Source organism: Homo sapiens, chromosome 12, assembly GCF_000001405.40.
Source record: "Homo sapiens chromosome 12, GRCh38.p14 Primary Assembly".
Taxonomy (NCBI): domain Eukaryota; kingdom Metazoa; phylum Chordata; class Mammalia; order Primates; family Hominidae; genus Homo; species Homo sapiens.
The window spans coordinates 87767566-87789646 of record NC_000012.12 but is presented as its reverse complement, the minus strand read 5'-3'; the positions used below and the strand labels follow the sequence as shown (position 1 = coordinate 87789646).

The 22081-nt window shown below is 37.3% G+C and overlaps 1 long non-coding RNA gene and 1 pseudogene across 2 annotated transcripts in view; one reads left to right on the top strand and one right to left on the bottom strand.

The window, feature by feature from the left end:
- The window catches only part of LINC02258 (long intergenic non-protein coding RNA 2258), a 36938-nt gene extending 16103 nt beyond the window's left edge, over positions 1-20835 (bottom strand). The window contains exons 1-2 of the long non-coding RNA NR_149056.1: positions 20803-20835; positions 9865-10130 (exon numbers count right to left, since the gene is read on the bottom strand). This is a non-coding gene — a long non-coding RNA (long intergenic non-protein coding RNA 2258). The remainder of the gene's footprint in view (positions 1-9864; positions 10131-20802) is intronic.
- Positions 4936-6762, top strand: MKRN9P (makorin ring finger protein 9, pseudogene; annotated as a pseudogene). Its single transcript, NR_033410.1, has one exon. The product of NR_033410.1 is annotated as a makorin ring finger protein 9, pseudogene (transcript).
- Positions 20836-22081: the final 1246 nt, after the last annotated feature.

Here is a 22081-nt window from a genome sequence, read left to right as displayed (position 1 = left end):
GCTACATCAGCATCATTTGGCTCTATGGTCCCAGCTCCATAGATATGAGAGCAGTTCTATGTGTCTGTGGCTCATGGGCTGGGCCTTCACCTTAAACTGTGTTTAATATAATCAGTCAGAATGATTTTAGAGAAAATGCTGGTTTGTTTGAGAGCTTTTTTTTTTTAAAAAAAAAAATCACCTCATAGGAGACGTCAGCAAGATGGTGGATAGAACTTCCAGCACTCGCCCCCTCATAGAAACATCAATTTGAATAACTATCTGTGCACAAAAATACCTTCACATGAACTAAGAAATCCAGGTGAGCTATTACAGCACCTGGATGGAGCACAGAAATAAGACGCATTAAGAGATTAGGAAAGATAGTATCACATTATGTATGTCACCTCTCCCCTAAGCCCAGGCAGTATAGCATGGAGACAGAGAGAGAGAGATACCCTTTGTGTGGGAAAAGAAGATTAAAGTGAGCACCTAACTTTGCTGTGGACTCCAGCACCAGACCTGCCCCAGTGAACCCTGGTACCAGGCCAGCCCCCAAGGCCTCATATTCTAGTGAATTTAGGATCCAGGCTTGCCCCAGTAGATCCGGGCTGCATACTTTCCTCTAGTAGTTTTTGAATCTTACATTTCACATCTTATGTTTAAGTTTTTAATCCATTTTGTGTTGATTTTTGTGTGTAGTTTGAGATAAAGGTCCAATTTTATTCTTCTGCATGTGGATATCCAGTTTTCCCAACACAGTTTATTGAAGAGACTGTCCTTTCCCTGTTGTGTGTTCTTGACATTTTTAATGAAAATCAATCGATCATAAATAGATGGATTTATTTCTGGGGTCTCTAATCTGTTTAGTTGGTCTATATGTGTGTGTGTTTTAAATGTCAGCACCATGCTATTTGATTAAAGACTTAAATATAAGAAAAAGCCTCTTGACATTGGTCTGTGCCATAATTTTTTAATATAATCCCCAAAGCACAGACAACAAAAGCAAAAATAAACAAATGAGATTGCCTCAAACTAAAAAGCTTCTGGACAACAAAGGAAGCAATTGAGAGAATAAAGAAACAACCTACAGAATTTAAGAAGAACCATGTTGTAAACTGTAATCTGATGACAGGTTAATAAGTAGGTATATAAGAAACTCAATCAACTCAATAAGAAGAAAAAATAATCTAATTAAAAACTGGAGAAAGAATCTGATTGGACATTTCTCAAAAGAAGACATACAAATGGCCAACAGGTATATGAAAAAACATTCAATATCACTAATCATAAGGGAAATGAAAATAAAAAACCATAATGAGATTTTACCTCACATCTGCTAGAATTACTATTATCAAAAAGACAGACAAAAGCATATGTGGTCAGAATATAAAAAAATAGAAATCCTTGTACATTGTTGTTAGGAATGTTAATTTTTATAGCTATTATAGAAAATAGTATGGAGGTTTCTAAAAAAATGTTAAAAATAGAACTATCATATCTATAATCCAGCAATTTCACTACTGTATATATACCAGAAGGGAATAAAATCTGTACATCAAAGAGATATCTGTACTCCCATGTTTATGGCAGCACTATTAAGAATAGCCAAGATATGGAAACGACCTAAGTGTTCATTAACAAGTAGATAAAGAAAAGGTGATACATATGAATAATGGAATAATATTCAACCTTAAAAGAGAAAAAAATCCCGACATTTGTGACAAGGTGGGTGATTCTAGAGGACATAATGCTAAGTAAAACAAGCCAGGCAAGAAAGGCAAATACTGCATGATCTTACTTACATGTGGGGAAGCATAGAAGCAGAGTGGAATGTTGGTTGTCAGGGGCAAGGGAGTTGAAGAAACGGGGACATTTTGTTTCAAAATTAGTTAAGATTAGTTAGATAGGATGAATAAATTCTAGAGATCTAATGTACAATATGGTGACTATAGTTAATAATAGTGTATTAGACACTTGAAATTTGCTAAGAGTGTATCTTAAATGTTTTCACCACATACACACACACACACACACACACACACAAACAAAGATAACTATGTGAGGTGATGGATATGTTAGTTTAGCAAGATTATGGTAATCATTTCAAAGTGTATACACATATCAAAACATCATGTTGTATATCATAGATATTTATAATAGTATTTGTCAATTATACCTTAATAAAGCTGCAAAATAAATAAATAAGTTACAGGGACTCTTGGATTTATTCATACATACATCAATTTTTTCTTAGGCCAAATTAAGTCAGAGCTTTCGTGGTAAACCTTATCACATAATATAAATAAGTCAAAAATGTTTAAATTGAAGATAAGAATTATTCAACAAAACAATATTAAAGAAACGAATGGTGTATGCTAACCTTGCCATTCAGGACCATAAAATGTAATTGCTGTGTGCCTATGCCTCTGCCTCCATGTATCTTGATAAACCATGTCAGACATAGTATATCCTATACCTAGCTGCTTGTCTGGCAAATATAATACTCCATAATTATTTATTAAGTAAATTGGGATGTTTTGACTCAGGTTGGATCTTATTATTAAATACAAGTATAAAAGTTTGAATCTTGTAGTCTGTTTCCCTCCATCAAAATTCCCTTTATAGTTGATTTTTATAGTTGATGGTAGACACGTGGGGGAAAGGAAAGGTAACCTTCTAGAATTTTAAAAGCTATGAGAGCAAAGTGACAGATTACCTGTATGGGAGTAAAAAATTTATCAAATTTCTCAGCAGGGACAGTATAAGACTGAAAAAAGAGTGAAGATATATAGTCAATATGTTTAGGAAAAATGGCGATCACCCCTTAATAATATGCCCAGCTAAATTATTATTTGAGAGTGAAGGTGAAATAAAGTTACTTTTCAGACTTGTAAATATTAAAAGAGTATACCATCTCTAGACCTTCACAGAATGTTTAAGGATTATTTTAGCATCAGCATGGGAAAAGAAAACTCAGAGGCAAGGTATGTAATAAAGTAATAACACAATCACCCAAAATGATGAAGTATGTTACTTAAATTTAAATGAACAACAATACACCATTTTATGCTTAAAAAGAGTAAAAATAAAACTTAAACCATAAAATAATGGTTGTATTTGATTGGGTAAAGTTTACTAAAACCTTTATGATATTTAGGAGAAAGAGATATTTAATATTATTAGATACCTTGTTATAAAAATTTATAAAATTCTCAGTAGCCACTCAGAAAAGATGTAAAATTAAAAGAAGAAAAAGGAGAGGTTTTAGTACAAATTTATCAAAAACCATTTGATGAAACAAGAAAGAAAAGCTGTTGCAAGACTAGAATACTTTAGTTGCCAAATTAGCAAAATACAACTATGAGTTAGTGTTTTAGTCTGTTTTCATATGCTATAAAGAATTGCTTGAGACTGTGTAATTTATAAAGGAAAGAGGTTTAATTGACTCACAGTTCAGCAAGGCTGGGGAGGCCTCAGGAAACTTACAATCGCCATGGAAGGCAAAGAGGAAGCAAGCACCTTCTTCACAAAGAAGCAGGAAGGAGAAGTGCCATGCGAAAGGGTAAGAGCCCCTTATAAAACCATCAGATCTGTGAGAACTCATATCATGAGAACAGCATGGGGGAAACTGCCTTCCATGATTCAGTTACCTCCACCTGGTCTCTCCCTAGACACGCGCATGGGTATTATGGGGATTATGGGATTACAATTCAAGATGAGATTTGGGTAGGGGCACAAAGCCTAACCATATCAGTTAGTTATTAGAACATATACCTAACACATGTAAAAAATATCTTCCCAAGTACTATGCAACAGTTACAAAAATTGACTACATATTAGTTTGTAAAACATGTTTAAATAACTCTCCACATACTCTCATCAGAAAAAAAGTGAAATCAGGATTTATTGATGAAATGCGATTTTACAACAAACAAAACTATATGTTTGGGGACAAACTGCACTTCTTAGCAGCTTTTTGTTTACATCTCAATGAAAATTTAAAAGTATTTAGAACTGAACTTAAAGGTAATTGCTATATGCCAAAATGTATGAGTTCCAGCAAAGAAAAGACATGAAAGAGTGAAGATATATGTTACACATGCAATTTAAGAAGCTGGGGAAAAGCAATAGAATAAGCCTAAGGAAAGTAGCTTAAAGGAAACAATAAAAGTGAGAGTAGAGATTAGCAAAACAAAAAAAAACAGAAATATAGGGTTAAACAGGAACAAAAACTGTTCTATAAAAGCAGTCTATAAAAAGGAAAACTAAACAAAAAAATTTTTAATAAGCCATTAAAAAGATTGAGGTATAAAACTGTGAAGCACAAAGAAGAGGGATATAATTACAGATATAGTACAGGTTAAAAAAGAATGAGAATAGTACGAACATTTGAAAACCTAGGTAAAATTGATATTTTGTAGAAAAATATTACAAAAATTGATTCAAGAATACATGAAATGTCAATAAATCATCAAACATTGAAGAAATGAATTATTAATCAAAATCCCTCTGCTCAAGCCTATCATCCATCTATCCTTCCTAGCTATCTTAATACGAACCCGTGTTACAAAATATTTTCTACCAGTCATTCTAAGAACAGATAATCCTGATCTTATATAAAAATATTTTAAAAATAGAGAATGTAGACAAATGTGATCTTCATATAAAATACAGATCAGAAAAAAATACTATAGACTAAATTCTCCTATGATTTCTGTAGAAAATATTGGCAAATGAATTCAGCAGTTTTCAAAGGAAATATACTACATAGATCATACTATGTAGGTGTTTATCTTAGGAATTTATGGATGGGTTATAGTTAAAGATGTTACATTAATAGGTTGAAGAAGATTAGGAAATAAACATCTTGATGGATGCAGAAAACGCATTTGATGAAGTTTACCATACAGGATAAAAACCTTTAGCAAACTTGCACTTAGCAAAGGGGAACTAGACGTGGAGCAGGCAGGGACTGAGCGGGTGCCTCAGTGTCCTACCCCTCCCTTCGCCGGGCCTCTCAGTCCTCTCCCAGCAGCTGGACCGGAACTATGTGATCCCGGAAGTTCCGGGGCCTTTTCTGTGTGGGATAAACAGTAATGGCGGAGGCTGCAGCTCTCAGACCAACAGCCACAACATCAGGGGCGGCAGTGGCGGCAGCGGCGGCGGCGGCAGCAGCGGCCTCCCCTACCAGGATCCCCACAGTCACCATTCTGTCCCCAGGGGGCAGGCGAGGGGGCCGCGGCAGCGATGGCAGCGGCGGCAGCTGGACTAAACAGGTCACCTGCAGGTATTTTATGCATGGGGTTTATAAGGAAGGAGATAACTGTTGCAAGTTGCATGACCTCTCTGACAGTCCGTATAATGTAGTGTACAAGAGTTTGCAGCCAGGGTACTGTATTTATGGAGACTGCTGCAGATATGAACATAGCAAGCCATTGAAACAGAAAGAAGCAACTGCTACAGAGCTAACTACAAAGTCATCCCTTGCTGCTTCCTCAAGTCTCTCATGGATAGTCGGACCACTTGTTGAAATGAATACGGGTGAAGCTGAGTCAAGAAATTCAAACTTTGTAACTGTAGGAGCAGGTTCAGAGGGCTGGGTGAATGCTGTTGAGTTTGTTCCTGGGCAACCCTACTGTGGCCGCACTGCGCCTTCCTGCACTGAAGCACCCCTGCAGGGCTCAGTGACCAAGGAAGAATCAGAGAAAGAGCAAACTGCCGTGGAAACAAAGAAGCAGCTGTGCCCCTATGCTGCAGTGGGAGAGTGCCGATATCGGGAGAACTTGTGTGTATATGGAGATTCGTGTGACATGTGTGGCTGCAGGTCCTGCATCTGATGGATGCTGCCCAGAGATCACAGCATATAAAATCATGCTTTGAGGCCCATGAGAAAGACAGGGAGCTCTCATTTGCTGTGCAGCGCAGCGAGGAAATGGTGTGTGAGAGCTGCATGGAGATGATCTATGAGAAAGCCAACCCCAGACAGCACCGCTTCGGGATCCTCTCCAACTGCAACCACACCTACTGTCTTAAGTGCATTCGCAAGTGGAGGAGTGCTAAGCAGTTTGAGAGCAAGATCATAAAGTCCTGCCCAGAATGTCGGATCACATCTAACTTTGTCGTTCCAAGTGAGTACTGTGTGGAGGAGAAAGAAGAGAAGCAGAAACTCATTCTGAAATACAAGGAGGCAATGAGCAACAAGGCGTGCAGGTATTTTGATGAAGGACATGGGAGCTGCCCGTTTGGAGGGAACGGTTTTTATAAGCATGTGTACCCTGATGGCCGTAGAGAGGAGCCACAGAGACAGAAGGTGGGAACATCAAGCAGATACCCGGCCCAATGAAGGAACCACTTCTGGGAACTCATTGAGGAAAGAGAGAACAGCAGCCCCTTTGACAACGATGAAGAAGAGGTTGTCACCTTTGAGCTGGGTGAGTTGTTGCTTATGCTTTTGGCTGCAGTTGGGGACGATGAACTAACAGACTCTGAAGATGAGAGCGACTTGTTTCATGAGGAGCTGGAAGATTTTTATGACTTGGATCTATAGCAACCTTGTGTGGCGTGTGAACTGGTCTGCTGACCCCAGACAGCAGCTGTTCCCTGTGGTGGTGTGGCAGTGCCTGTGTTCTCTCCTAGGCAGGCCTGTCAACTCCAGGTGCTGGCATAAGAATTTTTACCCAGGGCCTGTCTTTTCAACCCCTCACCTTTCCCCAAGGAGTGTGTTGTTTTCCCTCTTGAAAAAAAGTTAGAAAAATAAATCTTAAAGTTAGTTTTCTGAAAAAAAAAAAAAAAAAGAAAAAGGGAACTAGAAAAATAAAAAAGAACAAAAAATAAATAAAAAAGAAAAAGGGAACTTGGCAAACAATACCAATCGATTATTAAATTTTAGAGGTTTCCTTAGAGTCAGGAAGATGATGAGATTGTGCTTACAGTTAAAAACTATGAAGTCCTTAGTAGAGTCAAGAAAAGATATGAGAGGTAAGAATTGGAAAGAAAACAATAACTATTTGAAGACATGCTTATCTATGTAGAACTTAAAATAGCATCTATGGACAAATTATTAAAAGGGTTTTTCAGGCACCAATAATAATAAGAAAAAGTAAACAGAAAATAAAAATTCCAGTCTCAATGGAACAAAAACAATGTTACCTCTTATTTTTAATTAAAGAGGGGCAGCCTGTAATCCCAGCACTTTGGGAGGCCGAGGTGGGTGGATCATGAGGTCAGGAGATTGAGACTATCCTGGCTAACACGGTGAAACCCCATCTCTACTGAAAATACAAAAAATTAGCCGGGCATGGTGGCAGGCGCCTGTAGTGCCAGCTACTCGGGAGGCTGAGGCAGGAGAATTGCGTCAACCCGGGAGGTGAAGCCTGCAGTGAGCAGAGATCACACCACTGCACTCCAACCTGGGCGACAGAGCGGTTTGAGACTCTGTCTCAAACAAACAAACAAACAAAAGCAGCAAAATCATTCTGGAGAAAATTATAAAACATTGAAAATATAAAAAGAAAAAAACAACCAGTGTGTGTATGTATATGTAGAGAGAGTGTTCATGAATTAAGTTACAATAACAGAGTGATGTTGATACTTCCTCAAAATTGTCTATAAATTCAATGCAATCCCAGTTAAAATTCCAACAGAGGCCGGGCACTGTGGCTCACGCCTGTAATCGCAGCACTTTGGGAGGCCGAGGCGGGTGGATCACGAGGTCAGGAGATCGAGACCATCTTGGCCGACATGGTGAAACCCTGTCTCTACTAAAATACTAAAAATTAGCCAGGCGTGGTGGTGTGTGCCTGTAATCCCAGCTACTTGGGAGGCTGAGGCAGGGGAATTGCTTGAACCTGGGAGGCGGAGGTTGCAGTGAGCTGAGATCACGCCACTGCACTTCAGCCTGGTGACAGAGCAAGACTCTGTCTCAAAAAAAATAAATAAATAAATAAATAAATAAAATAAAATCCAACAGGAATTTTTAAGGAACCAGGAAGCTGACATCTAACTTTATATGAAAGAGTGAAGAAAGAACCAAGAAGAGTCAGCACAATTTTGAATAATGAGGTGGAAGGAGTTGTTCTACTGGAGGTCAAGAATGAGTTTAAAGCTGCAATGATTAAGATACTGTATTCTCAATGCAGGAAAAGACAAACAGACCATTGGGAACAGTATGGAATTTTATGAATATATGTAAATCAAGCAGCATTGTTATCTGTGTAAGACTGGATTATTCCATAAATAATGCTGGAACAATTTATTCAAATGGAAAAAAATTACTCTCATTCATATTATACAGAAAAATTAATTTAGGAACAGTAAAGACTTAAATGTTGATATGGTTTGGCTGTGTCCCCACCTAAATCTCATCTTGAATTGTAACTCCTATAATTCTCACGTGTCATGGGAGGGACCCGGTGGGAGGTAATTGAATCATAAGGGTGGGTCTTTCCCATGTTGTTCTCGTGATAGTAAATAAGTCTTACAAGATCTGATGGTTTTATAAAGGAGAGTTCTCCTGCACATGCTCTCTTGTCTGTCACCATGTAAGGCTTTGCTCCTCCTTCACCTTCTGCCATGATTGTGAGGCCTCCCCAGCCAAGTGGAACTAAGTCCATTAAACCTCCTTTTCTTCATAAATTACCCAGTCTTGGGTATGCCTTTATTAGCGGCATGAGAACGGATGAATACAAATGTGAAACTAGAACATTAAAACCTTTAAAGGGGTGTGACTAATTTTTAAAAATAAGAAAGGAACATACTCTTAAGGAGAAGGTGACTATAAAATTAATAACTAGGGGGTAGTGAATAAAATTAAAAACTGCGGGGGAGGGCAAAGCAAGGTGGTAGAATAGAAGCCTACACCATTTATCTACCCAACTGGAACATCAAATTTTAACAATATCTGCACAAAGAGAGACACTATCACTAGAGCCAAAAACCAAGTGAGCAACCACAGCATCTTGTTTTAACTTCATATCCTTAAAAGAGGCATTGAGGAGGGCAGGAGAGACAGTTTTGAATTACTGATGCCACCCCTCCCCCATACCCTGGCAGCAGCTGTGCAGCACAGAAAGAGAATCTGTGCATTTTGGGGAGGCAGGGCCCAGCTTCTGGGGGTCTTTATATTGAACTCAGTGCTTCCCTGGTCACAGAGGAGAATAATGCTGTCCTGGGCTCAGTCAGCATCCACACATGGAGGAAGCAGTAACACGAGCTCTAGTCAGAGAGGAATTGCCAGTCCCAGCAGTCAGAACTTGATTTCTTGGCAAGCCTTGCCACTATGGGCTAAAGAGCTCTGGGGTCCAAAGTAAACTTGAAAGCCAGTGTAGGACACAAAACCTGCAATTCCTAGGCAACTCCTAGTGTTGGGCTGGGCTCAGAGCCAGTTGACTAGGGTGGCATGTGACCTAGGAAGTTACCAGCTGGGGATAGCTAAGGGAGTGCTTGTGCCATCCCTCCCACAACCCAAGGCAGTGCAGCTCACAGAAATGAAAGTGACTCCTTCCCACTGCTTAAAAAGAGGAGAGCAAAGAGTAAAGAGAACTTTGTCTTACATCTTGGATGTCAGCTCAGCCACAGTAGTATAGGGCACCAGGCAGATTGGTGAGGCCCTAGCTTCCAGACTACACATTTCTACATACATCCTGGCCCACTGCCTTGAAGGGAAGGAACCAGTTCTAACAGGAGTCATCACCTGCTGACTGAAGAGCGCTTTGGCCCTGAAAAACCAGCAGCAATTCCCAGGGAGTACACTGTGGGCCTTGGGCTCTTACATCTGCTGGGTTTAGGGTGACCCAGCACAATCCCAGTTGTGCTGGGTATGGTCAAAGACTCTTTCTGTTGGAGAAAAGTGGAAGGAAAAGTAAAGGGGACTTTTTCTTGCACCTTTGGTACCAGCTTGACCACAGTAGGGTAGAGAAATTAGCAGGCTTTTGGGGTCCCTGAGTCCAGGCCCGGTCTCTTAGGTAAATTTCCAGACCTTCCCTGGGCCAAATAGCAGCCCAATGCCCTGAAGGGTCAGTCCCAGTTTTGGCAGCATTCACCAAAATCTGATGGAAGAGTCCGCGGGCTTTATGTGAACGTTGGTGGTGGTCTGGTAGAATTCACTGTGGACTGGAGGTGGTGGGGGCCACAGGAAGAGGCTTTTCTGCCTATAGGAAGTGGAGGGAAGAGCAGAAAGGACTTTGTATTGTGGTTTGAGTGCCAGGTTAGCCACACTAGAATAGAACATCAGGTAAATTGTTCATGTTTTTTACTGCAGTCTCTGGGTCCCAGACAGCATCTCTGGACACTCCCAGGGTCTGGGGGAGCTTGCCGCCCTGAAGGGAAGGGCCTTGGACAAGGCTTACTGTTGTGCTAGCTTCAGGTCTGACCTAGCACAGTGCCAGTCGTGGCAGCCTCAGGGGTGCTTGCATCACCACATCCTCAGTTCCAGGTGGCTTAGCACACAGAGAGAGAGACTCTGTTTGTTTGGGAGAAAGTAAGATAAAATAACAAGTGTCACTGTCTGGTCATCCAAAGAATTCTTCTGGATCTTATCCAGGACCATTAAGGTGGTATCTCTATGAGTATAGAAAACAGTTGAATTCATGAAGAGTGAGAGTAGAAGGATGATTACCAGAGGCAGGGAAGGGGAGTACAGGGGAGGTGGGGGAGGTGTGGATGGTTAATAAGTACAAAAATAAAATAGAATAAATAAGACCTAGTATTTCATAGCACAAAGATGTGACTATATTTAATAATTTAATTCTACATTTTTTTAAAATAACTAAACAAGTACAATGAGATTGTTTTTAACACAAGGAAAAATGTTTGAGGGGATGAATATCAAATTTTCCAGGTTGTGATTATTATGCATTGCATGGTTATACCAAAATATCTCATCTACCCCATAAACATACGCATCTACTATGTACCCACAAAGAATAAAAATTAAAAACAGTAAAAAATTTAAAATTGCACAAAACCAAAAGTAAAAACACATATCACAGAATAGAAGACATTTTTAGTGTCTATAATTGACACTATTCATAAAATTTTCCCTCAAAAACAAAATCTTTCACAAATCACCTAGGCAAAAGACAACTTAGGCAAAGAATAGGTATATTGATATAAATATGAAGTCTTTTAGAGGAAATTCCAAATTGTCAATCCTATTTCTGGTAGGCTAAATAAAGGCCCCCTCCAAAGCTGTTTGCGTCCAATTCCTGGAACCTGTAACTGCTATCTTACATGGTAGAAGGGACTCTATAAAAGTGAATAATGAAATGGGAAGATGACCTGGGATCATCTGAGTGGGTACGATGTAATCACTAGGCCCCCATATAAGAGGGATGCAGAGGATAAGAAAGTAGTTGGGTATGTGATGATGAAAGCCAGAGGTTGGAGGAATGTGGAGAAGGAGTTGTGAGCCAAGGGATGCAGGCAAACTCTAGAAGCTGAAAAGGCAAAGTTGTCCTGGTTTCCAGAAGGAATGCAGCCTAGCTAACCCATTTTAGACTTTTGACCTCTATAAGTGTGAGGGAACAAAGTTGCATTGTTGTTTTAAGACACTAAGTTCATGGTAAGTTATTATAATAGAGAAACTAATGCAGTAATTCTCCCTCTATTGTAATCAGGGAAATCAAAATTAAAATAAACAAACTATTATATATGTATGTTAGTTGCACAAATAATTACAAACCTGGGAATAGCATGTGTAGTTGAAGATGTAGACAAATGAGAATTTCTGTACATTCTGATGGACTCTAAGTATACATAGAGTCTAAAATTGGTATAGCCATTTTGAAGAGAAAACACCCCAAATAACCTAAATATTATTTTACTAAGTACATACCACAGAGAAATCCACACAAATGCAGAAGGAGGTGTGATAAAAACATTCATTATAGAGTCATTTGTAAAAAAATTGAGGACAATCAGAATGTTTATCAATAGTAGAAGAAATAAACAGCAACATGTTTGTGAAATGGGAAATGACAGTCTTTTATACAAATGAACTAGAGCTACACTTACCAACAAGATAAAACAAGTTGCAAGAAAGTTTCAACATGCTTATGTTTAGATTATTATATTTATTACCATATAAGCACTATATATTTCCTGTAGATACATGAACATTCAGTAAACAAATAAAATATTCATGAAAATGATAAATGAGAGAAGTATGATAGTAGCTACTTCAGAGAAAGAGAGAAATGGATCAGAGTAATACACAGAAGGTTCACCTCTGCGTTTTATCTTAAAAATAAGCTGAAGTACAGATACTGAAGTCTTAAAACTTAATACAGCTGGATATTTAGTAAACATATATGTATTATGTTATTCTCTACTATTGTATACATATTTGAATTGTTTTATAATTTGAAAACCAAGCAAAACAAAATTATTTTTTTCAATAAACCCAAAATTCAAAAGTTTTCTGTAAAAAATATGTTCCTAGATTTGTTTTAGGACACCAATCTTAAAAATGACAAAGGAGAGGATTTTTTCATTATCTTAAAAATAGCATAATGTCCTTGCCAAAATCATAATGAAACTTCCACATCCTAAGATTTTTGAGTCAAGAACTTTGTATGAGTAGTATAAGATATTGGAGCTGATTTGCAAATAATGCAAGGTATGGTTGAAAAATGCCTCAGATTGTTAACTAAAGGCCAGCACTGTGGGTCTAACTTTACCAGACCAAATCGTTTGACTCTAAGTAAATCTCAAGCAATTTTCTCTAGTGCTAAGATTCAATGACCCGAGGCTCCTTTCTAAGATGCAAGAGAGATCATAGGAAAGGTATGATGTATCTGTCAAGAGAAATGGAAACAACTATTTTTAGAAACATGTAGTTTGTAGCTATTCCACTAGATTTGTCCAGAAATGTATTTCTGCTTCCTTCTAAGTCATGCAGCACTTAGAATTTATTTTTTGAAGTATCTGGAACTAATTTTAGAGCCTCTCTAGTATTAAGATTCGAGGCAAAAATAATAAAATAGGGAAAATCCTTTTATTTTGTAGTGAATATTTTGTTAGCAGATTAAAAATTTACACTAAAATGTCCTATCTTACTGGAAGAGAAACTGTTTGACTTGAGGTTCAATTTAATAATTTTTCCTTATAATGGAGCTATGTCAATTTAGAAAATGGCGTTGCTATTTAAAATGCCATTCCATAACCCTCTTTAATTAAAGTGCCAATATACCGTCAATCTGCTCCCATTAATAAAATTTTAACCATTAGAGTCTAAGCTGTATGATATACAGTTTATTTTTTTTTTCAGAAAGTGTGCACAGACTCCTTAGAGATTTGAGGAGGGAGCTTAAAATTCAGTGCTTTAGAAGTGATAGCTTTGACGGAAGCTAAGGAAAAACAAAAACAAAGGAGATAAGACGGAGACGCAGAGAACAGACAGGAGCCGACAAAAAGAGAGAAATAAACAGAAAGCTGAGGATCAGCTGTTGGATATGAATGTCAAGAATTTGTGTTAATGAAATGATAACCCTAAGCAATTAAATGCTTCTGGTTTAGGTCCTGGTGGGGGTTGGGGCATATCTTACTGAGCCCTTAAAAATCCATTCTGTGTCTGGGAGGTGATTGTATTTCCTATATTCACTTCAATCTAATTTCCTATGGATTTCAGATCATTTTATATTTCCAATTATAACACTGTTCACATTACTGATTTGGCAGATTCAAATGATGAATGCCAAGAGAAGCAGAACAGGATGGAAAAGACTGGAGTAGCTAAAAAAAATTCAATGATACACATTTCAAAAAGTACATTTTGCAGATGCAAGAATGAGAAAGCCAGCTAAATGGCTGTGGGGAGAAGGGCATTGTGTACAGTAAGGACACAAGTGGCAATTTCATAATCATCTAATAACAAGAAACAAATTAAGTTTTACGTCAGAAGCACTAGAACTAACCAAAAACTGAAAATCTGGAATGAAGGATACTTTATTCATGCTTCAGGAGTTTCATGGTTTCTTTCAGTTTTGCTTGTCTCTATTTGTGTGATTTATTTTCATCTCCTTGACCACCTTTGTCTGCTTTCTCATTCTACTCATGAAACAGTAAGCTTGACAGTTCAGATCAGAAACTGGTGGATCTTTTCTATGTCTCTTTTGTAAATGATAAAAGACATATTCTTTACAGCTCAGTTCATCTTTTTGAGCAAGATGAACCAGATACCATCATTATCAACGTCATCATCATCATCACTATAATCACTACTAACATTGAGTGCTTAGTACCTGCCATGCACTATTCTAAATGTTTTATGTGTATTGACTCATTTAAAGTTTACAGTTCTTTGTGCTAGGCATTCTGTTATTACTTCTGTTTTGTAGACATGAAAACTAGGGCATGGTTTAGTGACTTGTAGAAATTCACAACTGGGGCTGGCAGCAGTGGCTGATACCTGTAATCCCACACTTTGGAAGGCTGAGGTGGGCAGATCACTTGAGGTCAGGAGTGAGCTGAGATCATACCACTGCACTTCAGCTTGGGTAACAGAGTGAGACTGTCTCAAAATAAATAAATAAATAAAGAAAATAAAAAATTCACAACTGGATATGAAAATTTTGGCTGAAATTTCTTTTGTTTAAGAATGCTGAATATAGACCCCCCCCCTTTTAGGGTTTCTGCTGAAAGGTCCACTGTTAGCCCGATGGGGTTACCTTTGTACATGATCTGCCTCTTCTTTCTAGCTCCCTTTAACATTTTTTAATTTCATTTCAACCTTGGAGAATCTGATGACTTACAACTTCAGCAAAGTTTCAGGATACAAAGCCAATGTACAAAAATCAGTAGCATTCCTATACACCAATGAGTTCCAAGCTGAGAGCCAAATCAATAATGCAATCCCATTTAAAATAAGTCACAGAAAGATGAAACACCTAGGAATACAGCTAACCAGGGAGGTGAAAGATCTCTATAACAAATTACAAAACACTGCTCACAGAAATCAGAATGACAAATGAAAAAACATTTCATGCTCATGGATTGGAAGAAACAATATTGTTAAAATGGCCGTACTGTCCAAAGCAATTTATAGATTCAATGCTATTCCTATCGCACTGCCAATGACATTCTTCACAAAATTAGATAAAACTGCTTAAAAATCATGTGGAGCCAAAAAGAGCCCAAATAGACAAGGCAATCCTAAGCAAAAAGAACAAAGCTGGAGGTATCACGTTCCTGACTTCAAATTGTATTATAAGGCTACAGTAACCAAAACAGCATGGTACTGGTATACAAACAGACATATAGAAAAATAGAAAAGAATAAAGAGTCCAGAAATAAAGCCACACATCTACCACCATCTGATCTTTGACAAAGTCAACAAAAGCAAGCAATGGGGAAAAATTCCCTATTCAATATATGGTGCTAGGATAACTGGCTAGCAATATGCGGAAGATTGAAACTGGACCTCTTCCTTATACCATATACAAAAATCAATTCAAGATGGATGTAAGACTTAAATATAAAACCTTGAACTATAAAAACTGGTAAGATAACCTAGGAAATACCATTCTGGGCATAGGCCCTGGCAAAGATTTCATGATGAAGACTCCAAAAACAATTGCAACAAAACAAAAAATTGATAAATGGGACTAACAAATTCTGCACAGTAAAAGAAACCATCAACAGAGTAAACAGACACCCTACAGTATGGGAGAAAATGTTTGCAAATGAATGCATCCAACAAAGGTCTAATATACAGGATCTATGAGGAACTTAAACAAATTAATAAGTGAACAAAAAAACAACTCCATGAAAAAGTGGGCAAAGGAGAAGAACAGACAGTTTTCAAAAGAAGACATATACATGGCCAACATGTATGAAAAAATGCTCTATATCACTAATTATTAAAGAAATGGAAATCAAAATCCCAATGAGATACTATATCACACCAGTCAGAATGGCTATTATTAAAAAAGTCAAAAACAACAGATGCTGGTGAGGTTGCAGCAAAAAAGGGAGTGCTTATACACTGCTGGTGAGAATGTAATTTAGTTCAGTCGTTGTGGGCATGTAAATTAGCTTGGTCATTAGTTCAGTCACTGATCACACAAGATTACTGTGGTGATTTCTCAAAGAACTTAAAACAATTAATACTCTACCCAGCAATCCCATTATTGGGTATACACCTAAAGGAATATAAATCATTCTACCATAAAGACACATGACTATGCATGTTCATTGAGCACCCTTCACAACAGCAAAGGCCATAAATGCCAATTAATGGTAGGCTGGAAAAAATAATTGTGGTACATATACACCATGGTATATTACGCAGCCCTAAAAAATAATGAAATCATGTCCCTTTCTGCAACATGGATGGAGCTGGAGGCAATTATCCTAGGCAAACTAACACAGGATCAGAAAACCAAATACTGCCTGTCCTCATTTATAAGTAGGAGCTAAACAATGAGAATGTATAGACACAAAGAAAGGAATAACAGACACCAGTGTCTACTTAAAGTTGGAGGGTGGTAGGGGGTTGAAGACTGAAAAACTACTTATCTGATACTATGCTTATTATCTGAATGATGAAATGATCTGTACACCAAAACCATGCAACAGGCAATTTATATAACAAACCTGCACATGTATACCTGAACCTCAAATAAAAGTTAAAAAAAGAGAAAACAGTATGTGATAAATGATTCATAAATGAAAAAAGACCACTGATCACAGATCACCATAACAAATATAATAATGATAAAAACATTTTAAATATTATGAGGATTACCAATATGTAACTCAGAAACACGAAGTGAGCACATACTTCTGGGAAGATCATGCCAATGGACTTGCTTGATGCAGGTTCACCACAAACATTCAATTTGTAAAACCAGAACAAAACAGCACAGTATCTGCAAATGGCAATAAAGTGAAAAAAAAAAATTCACAACTACTTTGTGCAGAGCTCGTATTTGAATCCCAGAGGTAGCTAGCTGTTAGAGCCCAGACACTTCCTCTCTATATCATACTTTATTATATGTAGGTGATTTGTGCAACCTCATTTCATTCAGCAAGGAATAAGGCTAGGGGTATGTAGTTCCCTGCTCATTCAACAGGGGCAGTGGCTAGAGATTTCCTCAAATGTGGGTATAGATGAGACAAGCACTGACTAGACTAATACCTTTTAATTTAAAGACAAATTTGACATTTAAAGAGGTCAAATTTCTATGGCAAGACTGGCTGAATACCCAGAGACCACAGCGCAATATCACCTTGATGGAGTCAGCCAAGGTTATCTTAGTGTTTTAGATTTAATTAGACTGAAGTACAGAAACTGGGACACCAAATTACAGATCTGCCATGGGTCATGAAAAGTCAAATTATAATCAGAACGGTGTCTGAAGAACAAAGAAAATTAGCTGAATGGATCAAATCAATATTTGAATCATTCTGTTTCACCTTATGAATCAATCTCCCCATGGAAAAATACCTACAACATCAATTGAACATACAGCTGTCAGGATACCTTCCCCTGGAATAGTTTCTAAATTACCTCTGCCACTGCTTTTCTTTGACACCTCTTTTTCAGTTTCTAAATATGTCTGTTCTTTAAATCGCTTCCACTCTGTCCTTAGGTGTATTTAATGACATTAATTATCAACCATATTTTGCTCAAGCCTGAAATTCATCTTGTCTCCTTAATATATCTTTGCTTACTTTTTATATCATACGTTAGGTATTGATTTCATATTTTAACTCACAGAGGACAATTCATTTTACTTATGTATATGTTTTGAGGTTACTTCACTGTGTATCCTCAAAGTACTACCTGAGGTGGATCTGTGGAGAATATAGTGGATAAAGATACAAATTTCAGTGCCAGATGTACCTAGGTTTGAATTTGTGGTTGCCAATCATAGCTATATAATCTTGTGCAAACTCACAAAATAACTCTGTGCCCCAGTTTTTGGAACTAAAATCTAGACAAAATAATAGTACATGGATAGGAAGCTATTAAAGGAATTTAAATAAATCTGCCTGGTACCTAATAAGTATTCAAGAAGTGATAGATACTCTTATTAGCATCAACATTCTCTTTAACAAGATCATTTTATTAAATGAACCACTTATATATGCAACTGATACAATAACACACTCTGGGTACACCATCTAAGGGAGTCAAAAGATCTGAAAATCTTCTCATGACAGAAGTTGGGATAGATGCCTTGATAAAGGCAAAGCTAATTTTATTGTCATAATATATATGTTTTTGTTCTTTCATGTATGTGTGTTTTAGTTACTTGCAGATATCTCTCCTTTAATAGATGTAAGAGCCTTTAAAGGCAGTGTACCAATTATCTATTGCTGTGTAAAAAACCATCTTCAAACTTAGTAGTGACAAATGAAAACAAATTATTTCTCATGATACAGCTGTGATCGCTCATAAGGCTGCAATCAGCTGGGAGTTTGGCTAAGGCTACAGTGTCCAAGACTACCTCTTATCCTCCAAGGTGTCTTGCTACATGACCTCTCTTCATTCAGTGACGAGCTCAGGTTCTTTACACCATGGCCCCTGGCTTCCAAGAGAATAAGCCTCAATTTGCTAACCCTCCAGTTGCATCATGCTTGTCACTAATCCTTTGGCTAAATCAAGTAACATGACCAAGCTGAGATTTTGTGTGAGAGGAGACTATACAAGAACGTGAATACTGGGAGCTGTGGTTCATTAGAAGCTGCCAGTGTAACAATCTATCTAGCACAGGCAGTGCTTGTTTAAATTAATTTACTATCTGGCTGGGTGCGGTGGTTCTCACCTGTAATCCCAGCACTTTGGGAGGCCGAGGCAGGCAGATCACTTGAGGTCAGGAGATCGAGATGAGCCTGGCCAACATGGCGAAACCCTATTTCTATTAAAAATACAAAAATTAGCCAGTCGTGGTGGTGTGCACCTGTAATTCCAGCTACCTGGCTCGCTGAGGCAGGAGAATCACTTGAACCCGGGAGGTGGAGGTTGCAGTGAGCTGAGATCGTGCCACTGCACTCTAGTCTGGGTGACAGAGTGAGACTCCTTCTCAAAAATAAATAAATAAATAAATAAATAAATATATATATATATATATAAATAAATTAGTTTACTCTCAGTGACTGCATTGAACTTAACTTGCAAATGTCATTAGACATTGTCTGGGGAGGCTTAATTCTGTTTAGTTTGAAGAACTTTCTGTTGGTTAGAATTGCCCACCAGTAAGTAGTACAGATAACCTTGAATAAATAAGATTCTGACAATGAAATCCTCCACTGTGCCTGGATCACCAGTTGTCAAAATGTTATATAGATGTTTTGTAGCTTGTTTGGGCATTGAAGTAAATGAAGACCTTAGTCGCTTTCAACTTTTAAAGTCTATGACTATTTATTGAATATTTCTAATGTTGGAAGCACTCTATTGTAGGTGATGCAAAAGTGTATTTTTGAAGCCAGACAAATTTGTACTAAAATACCAACTCTACCAGACCTCTTCATATGGAAAACTGAAATAATAGTACACATCTTTCAGTCTTGCTGCGTCAAATAGCATAATATGTATAAAGTAATAAGCAAAAAAGTAAATGCTCAATAATTGTGAAAAATAAGCTTAAGGGCATATAGTCTAATTAGGAAAAAATTTTAAAAGCTTCTAACACTTAGCATTTGGACTTAAAATATTCTCTGAGTTAATTGGCAATATTGCAGCGTTGAGATAAAGGAAATAAAGAAGACATTCATTGAGCAATACCTGAAGTGACGATATTAAAATGACCTCATTTTGTTAGAATATAACGACTTTGGTGCTGATAGTAAAGTCCAAATACCCATGCAGGACATTTTCCTCTTACATTTCTTAATGCAGCTTCCTGAGAAGTAAAATAAAAATCCTTCCTGTTTCAAAATATTTACTGAGAGGTCCAATTTTTGTATATTGTTACCTGTCCAATGCATATTATTAGATAGAAAAGGATGCATATATATTCTTGACAAGGAAAGAATACAGATAAATAAACATAACCAAAAAGCAACCATAGGCTTGTAGTGACCCTTTTTCCCTCCATATTTCTATCTCTTTAGTAGGCCGTAAAAGGTGGACTTTAAAAGTGGTTTTGTGTTATCTCCTCAATAGCCTAGTATATTTTTAGAGATGCTGATGGAGAAAGGACACTACACTTTGTCAGCTGGGCATGTGTAGCAGTCATCTGGGCAATGCATGGTAAGATTGGTGAAGGAGCTATTGCTTTAGAAGATCGGTACTACAGAGGAAAATATTGTAGAAGCACTAAGTACAGCTTAGTTCAAACAGCTTAAAGGCTTTCATGTTTGATGCCTATTCCCTTCTCTAATGTATCCAGGGATCACTGCAAAGGTGATTGAAATGAGTTTTGGAATAAAACTCTCTTTTGCATGACTTTTCCTTCTTCAGAAAACTTTGATTTATTTAACCTTTGTTTTCAGAAAAGTGAATCTTTGTTCCACATTTCCTAGGTGATGGATTTTCCTCTTACATGAATCTGTACCATCGGCCTGCATTAGTCACACTGTATTATGTTGCACTAAATCAAGTAACACAACGTGACTATTAATATTGTGATGTGTAAGAACATGTCTCACTCGGGAATGGCGAAAATGTCATTTTCCGAAAACAGCTGTCTCTGCATTTATTCAATAACACTTTTCACCTTAGAAACTGTTGTTTGCAATCTGAGCATTTTCATTGGCAATTTTGAGATATATTTTAAAGCCTATTTTTTTCTCTAGTGTCATTAAATATTCACGATACTGCTAAAGCTTTCAATAATGAAATCAATTTTGAAGATGATTACAGTGAATACCTACCACCTCGGTATTTAGATGAATCAGAACAAATACAGCCAGAGAGTTCCAGAACAGACTTTTCCAATGGATTGATGATGATGATGAATCACCAGGCCTTAGTGTTCATCTTCTAGTTGACTGTTGTCACCACAACGTTTCCTTCTCTAGTGTGATGTATGGGAGTCAGAGGAGCAGTCTTCACAGGCTTGTTATCTCTCTTCGTCTTCAAAGCTGCTTTTAGTAAACTTCTTCTGCCTCTGCGTTTAGTAAATTTATAGCCATTGATCATGAGACTTGAGGAAAATAAAGGATAGTTTACCCGTCAAGAAAATGTTGTATGCAAGAATTAATTCTTACTTTCTGTTGGAAATAAATCTATTTATTCTAGGGCAAGAGATTGATCTTTGGTTTCTGTTGGGAAAGAATCAATATTACTGTTTTGTTGTTGGCCTACTAATGTACAAAATATAATGGTGTTCTTTGTGCTTTTTAACTGTTTAATCGTTCCATGAATTTTCTCTCCTTCTTATAAGAGCAAACGATGCTTACTTCTATACTTGCTTGGTTGATGTTTTCCTCATGATCATTAGGCTGCTTAACCCTGCATATCACAAATAAAAATGTTCAGGTTTTTAAATGAATATCAACCATGAAAATCAAAACAAAAAGGAATACAAAACCAGATACTCCAGACTCTTTCTTCCTTTTATTTTTTCATTTTGTTTTTCTTCCACAGTCTCTCCTGCTCCATCCTTATATCTAACAACATTGCTTTATTTTTATCAAAATAAAATATGCACATATTAAAAATGAATCAAGTATTTCGAAGGGCTTACAATGAAAGCGTTAGTCCATAGTCTCACTACTTCCAATTACTAGTTGCATTCACCTGAAGCACTGTGAGCTATAGTCTAAGCAATAGTTTCTTTGAACTGTTTCTTCAGGTTGCTGTCTCCATTTCTATTAATAATATACTTTCTTGATTTTTATATATTAACTTCTTATTATAATAGAAGACAACTTAGCTGACTTGGGAAATATCTACTATCCTCCTAATGCCACCACTATACCATGATATAAAATTTTTCCTCTGTTGATTAATTGTCAACATGAAGGACTATACTTGTGATTTTCCCTCTCCTTTAACTGTAGCCAGCAGCTTTGATCCTTGATTTATATGATGAGGATACTAATGCATCTGCTATTTTCCTTATTGTTTGACTCTCCTTTCTTCCCAGTCTCTGGATTTATACTTTTATAATGCCAGGGTGGATGACATTTACATTATTCTTTATAACCA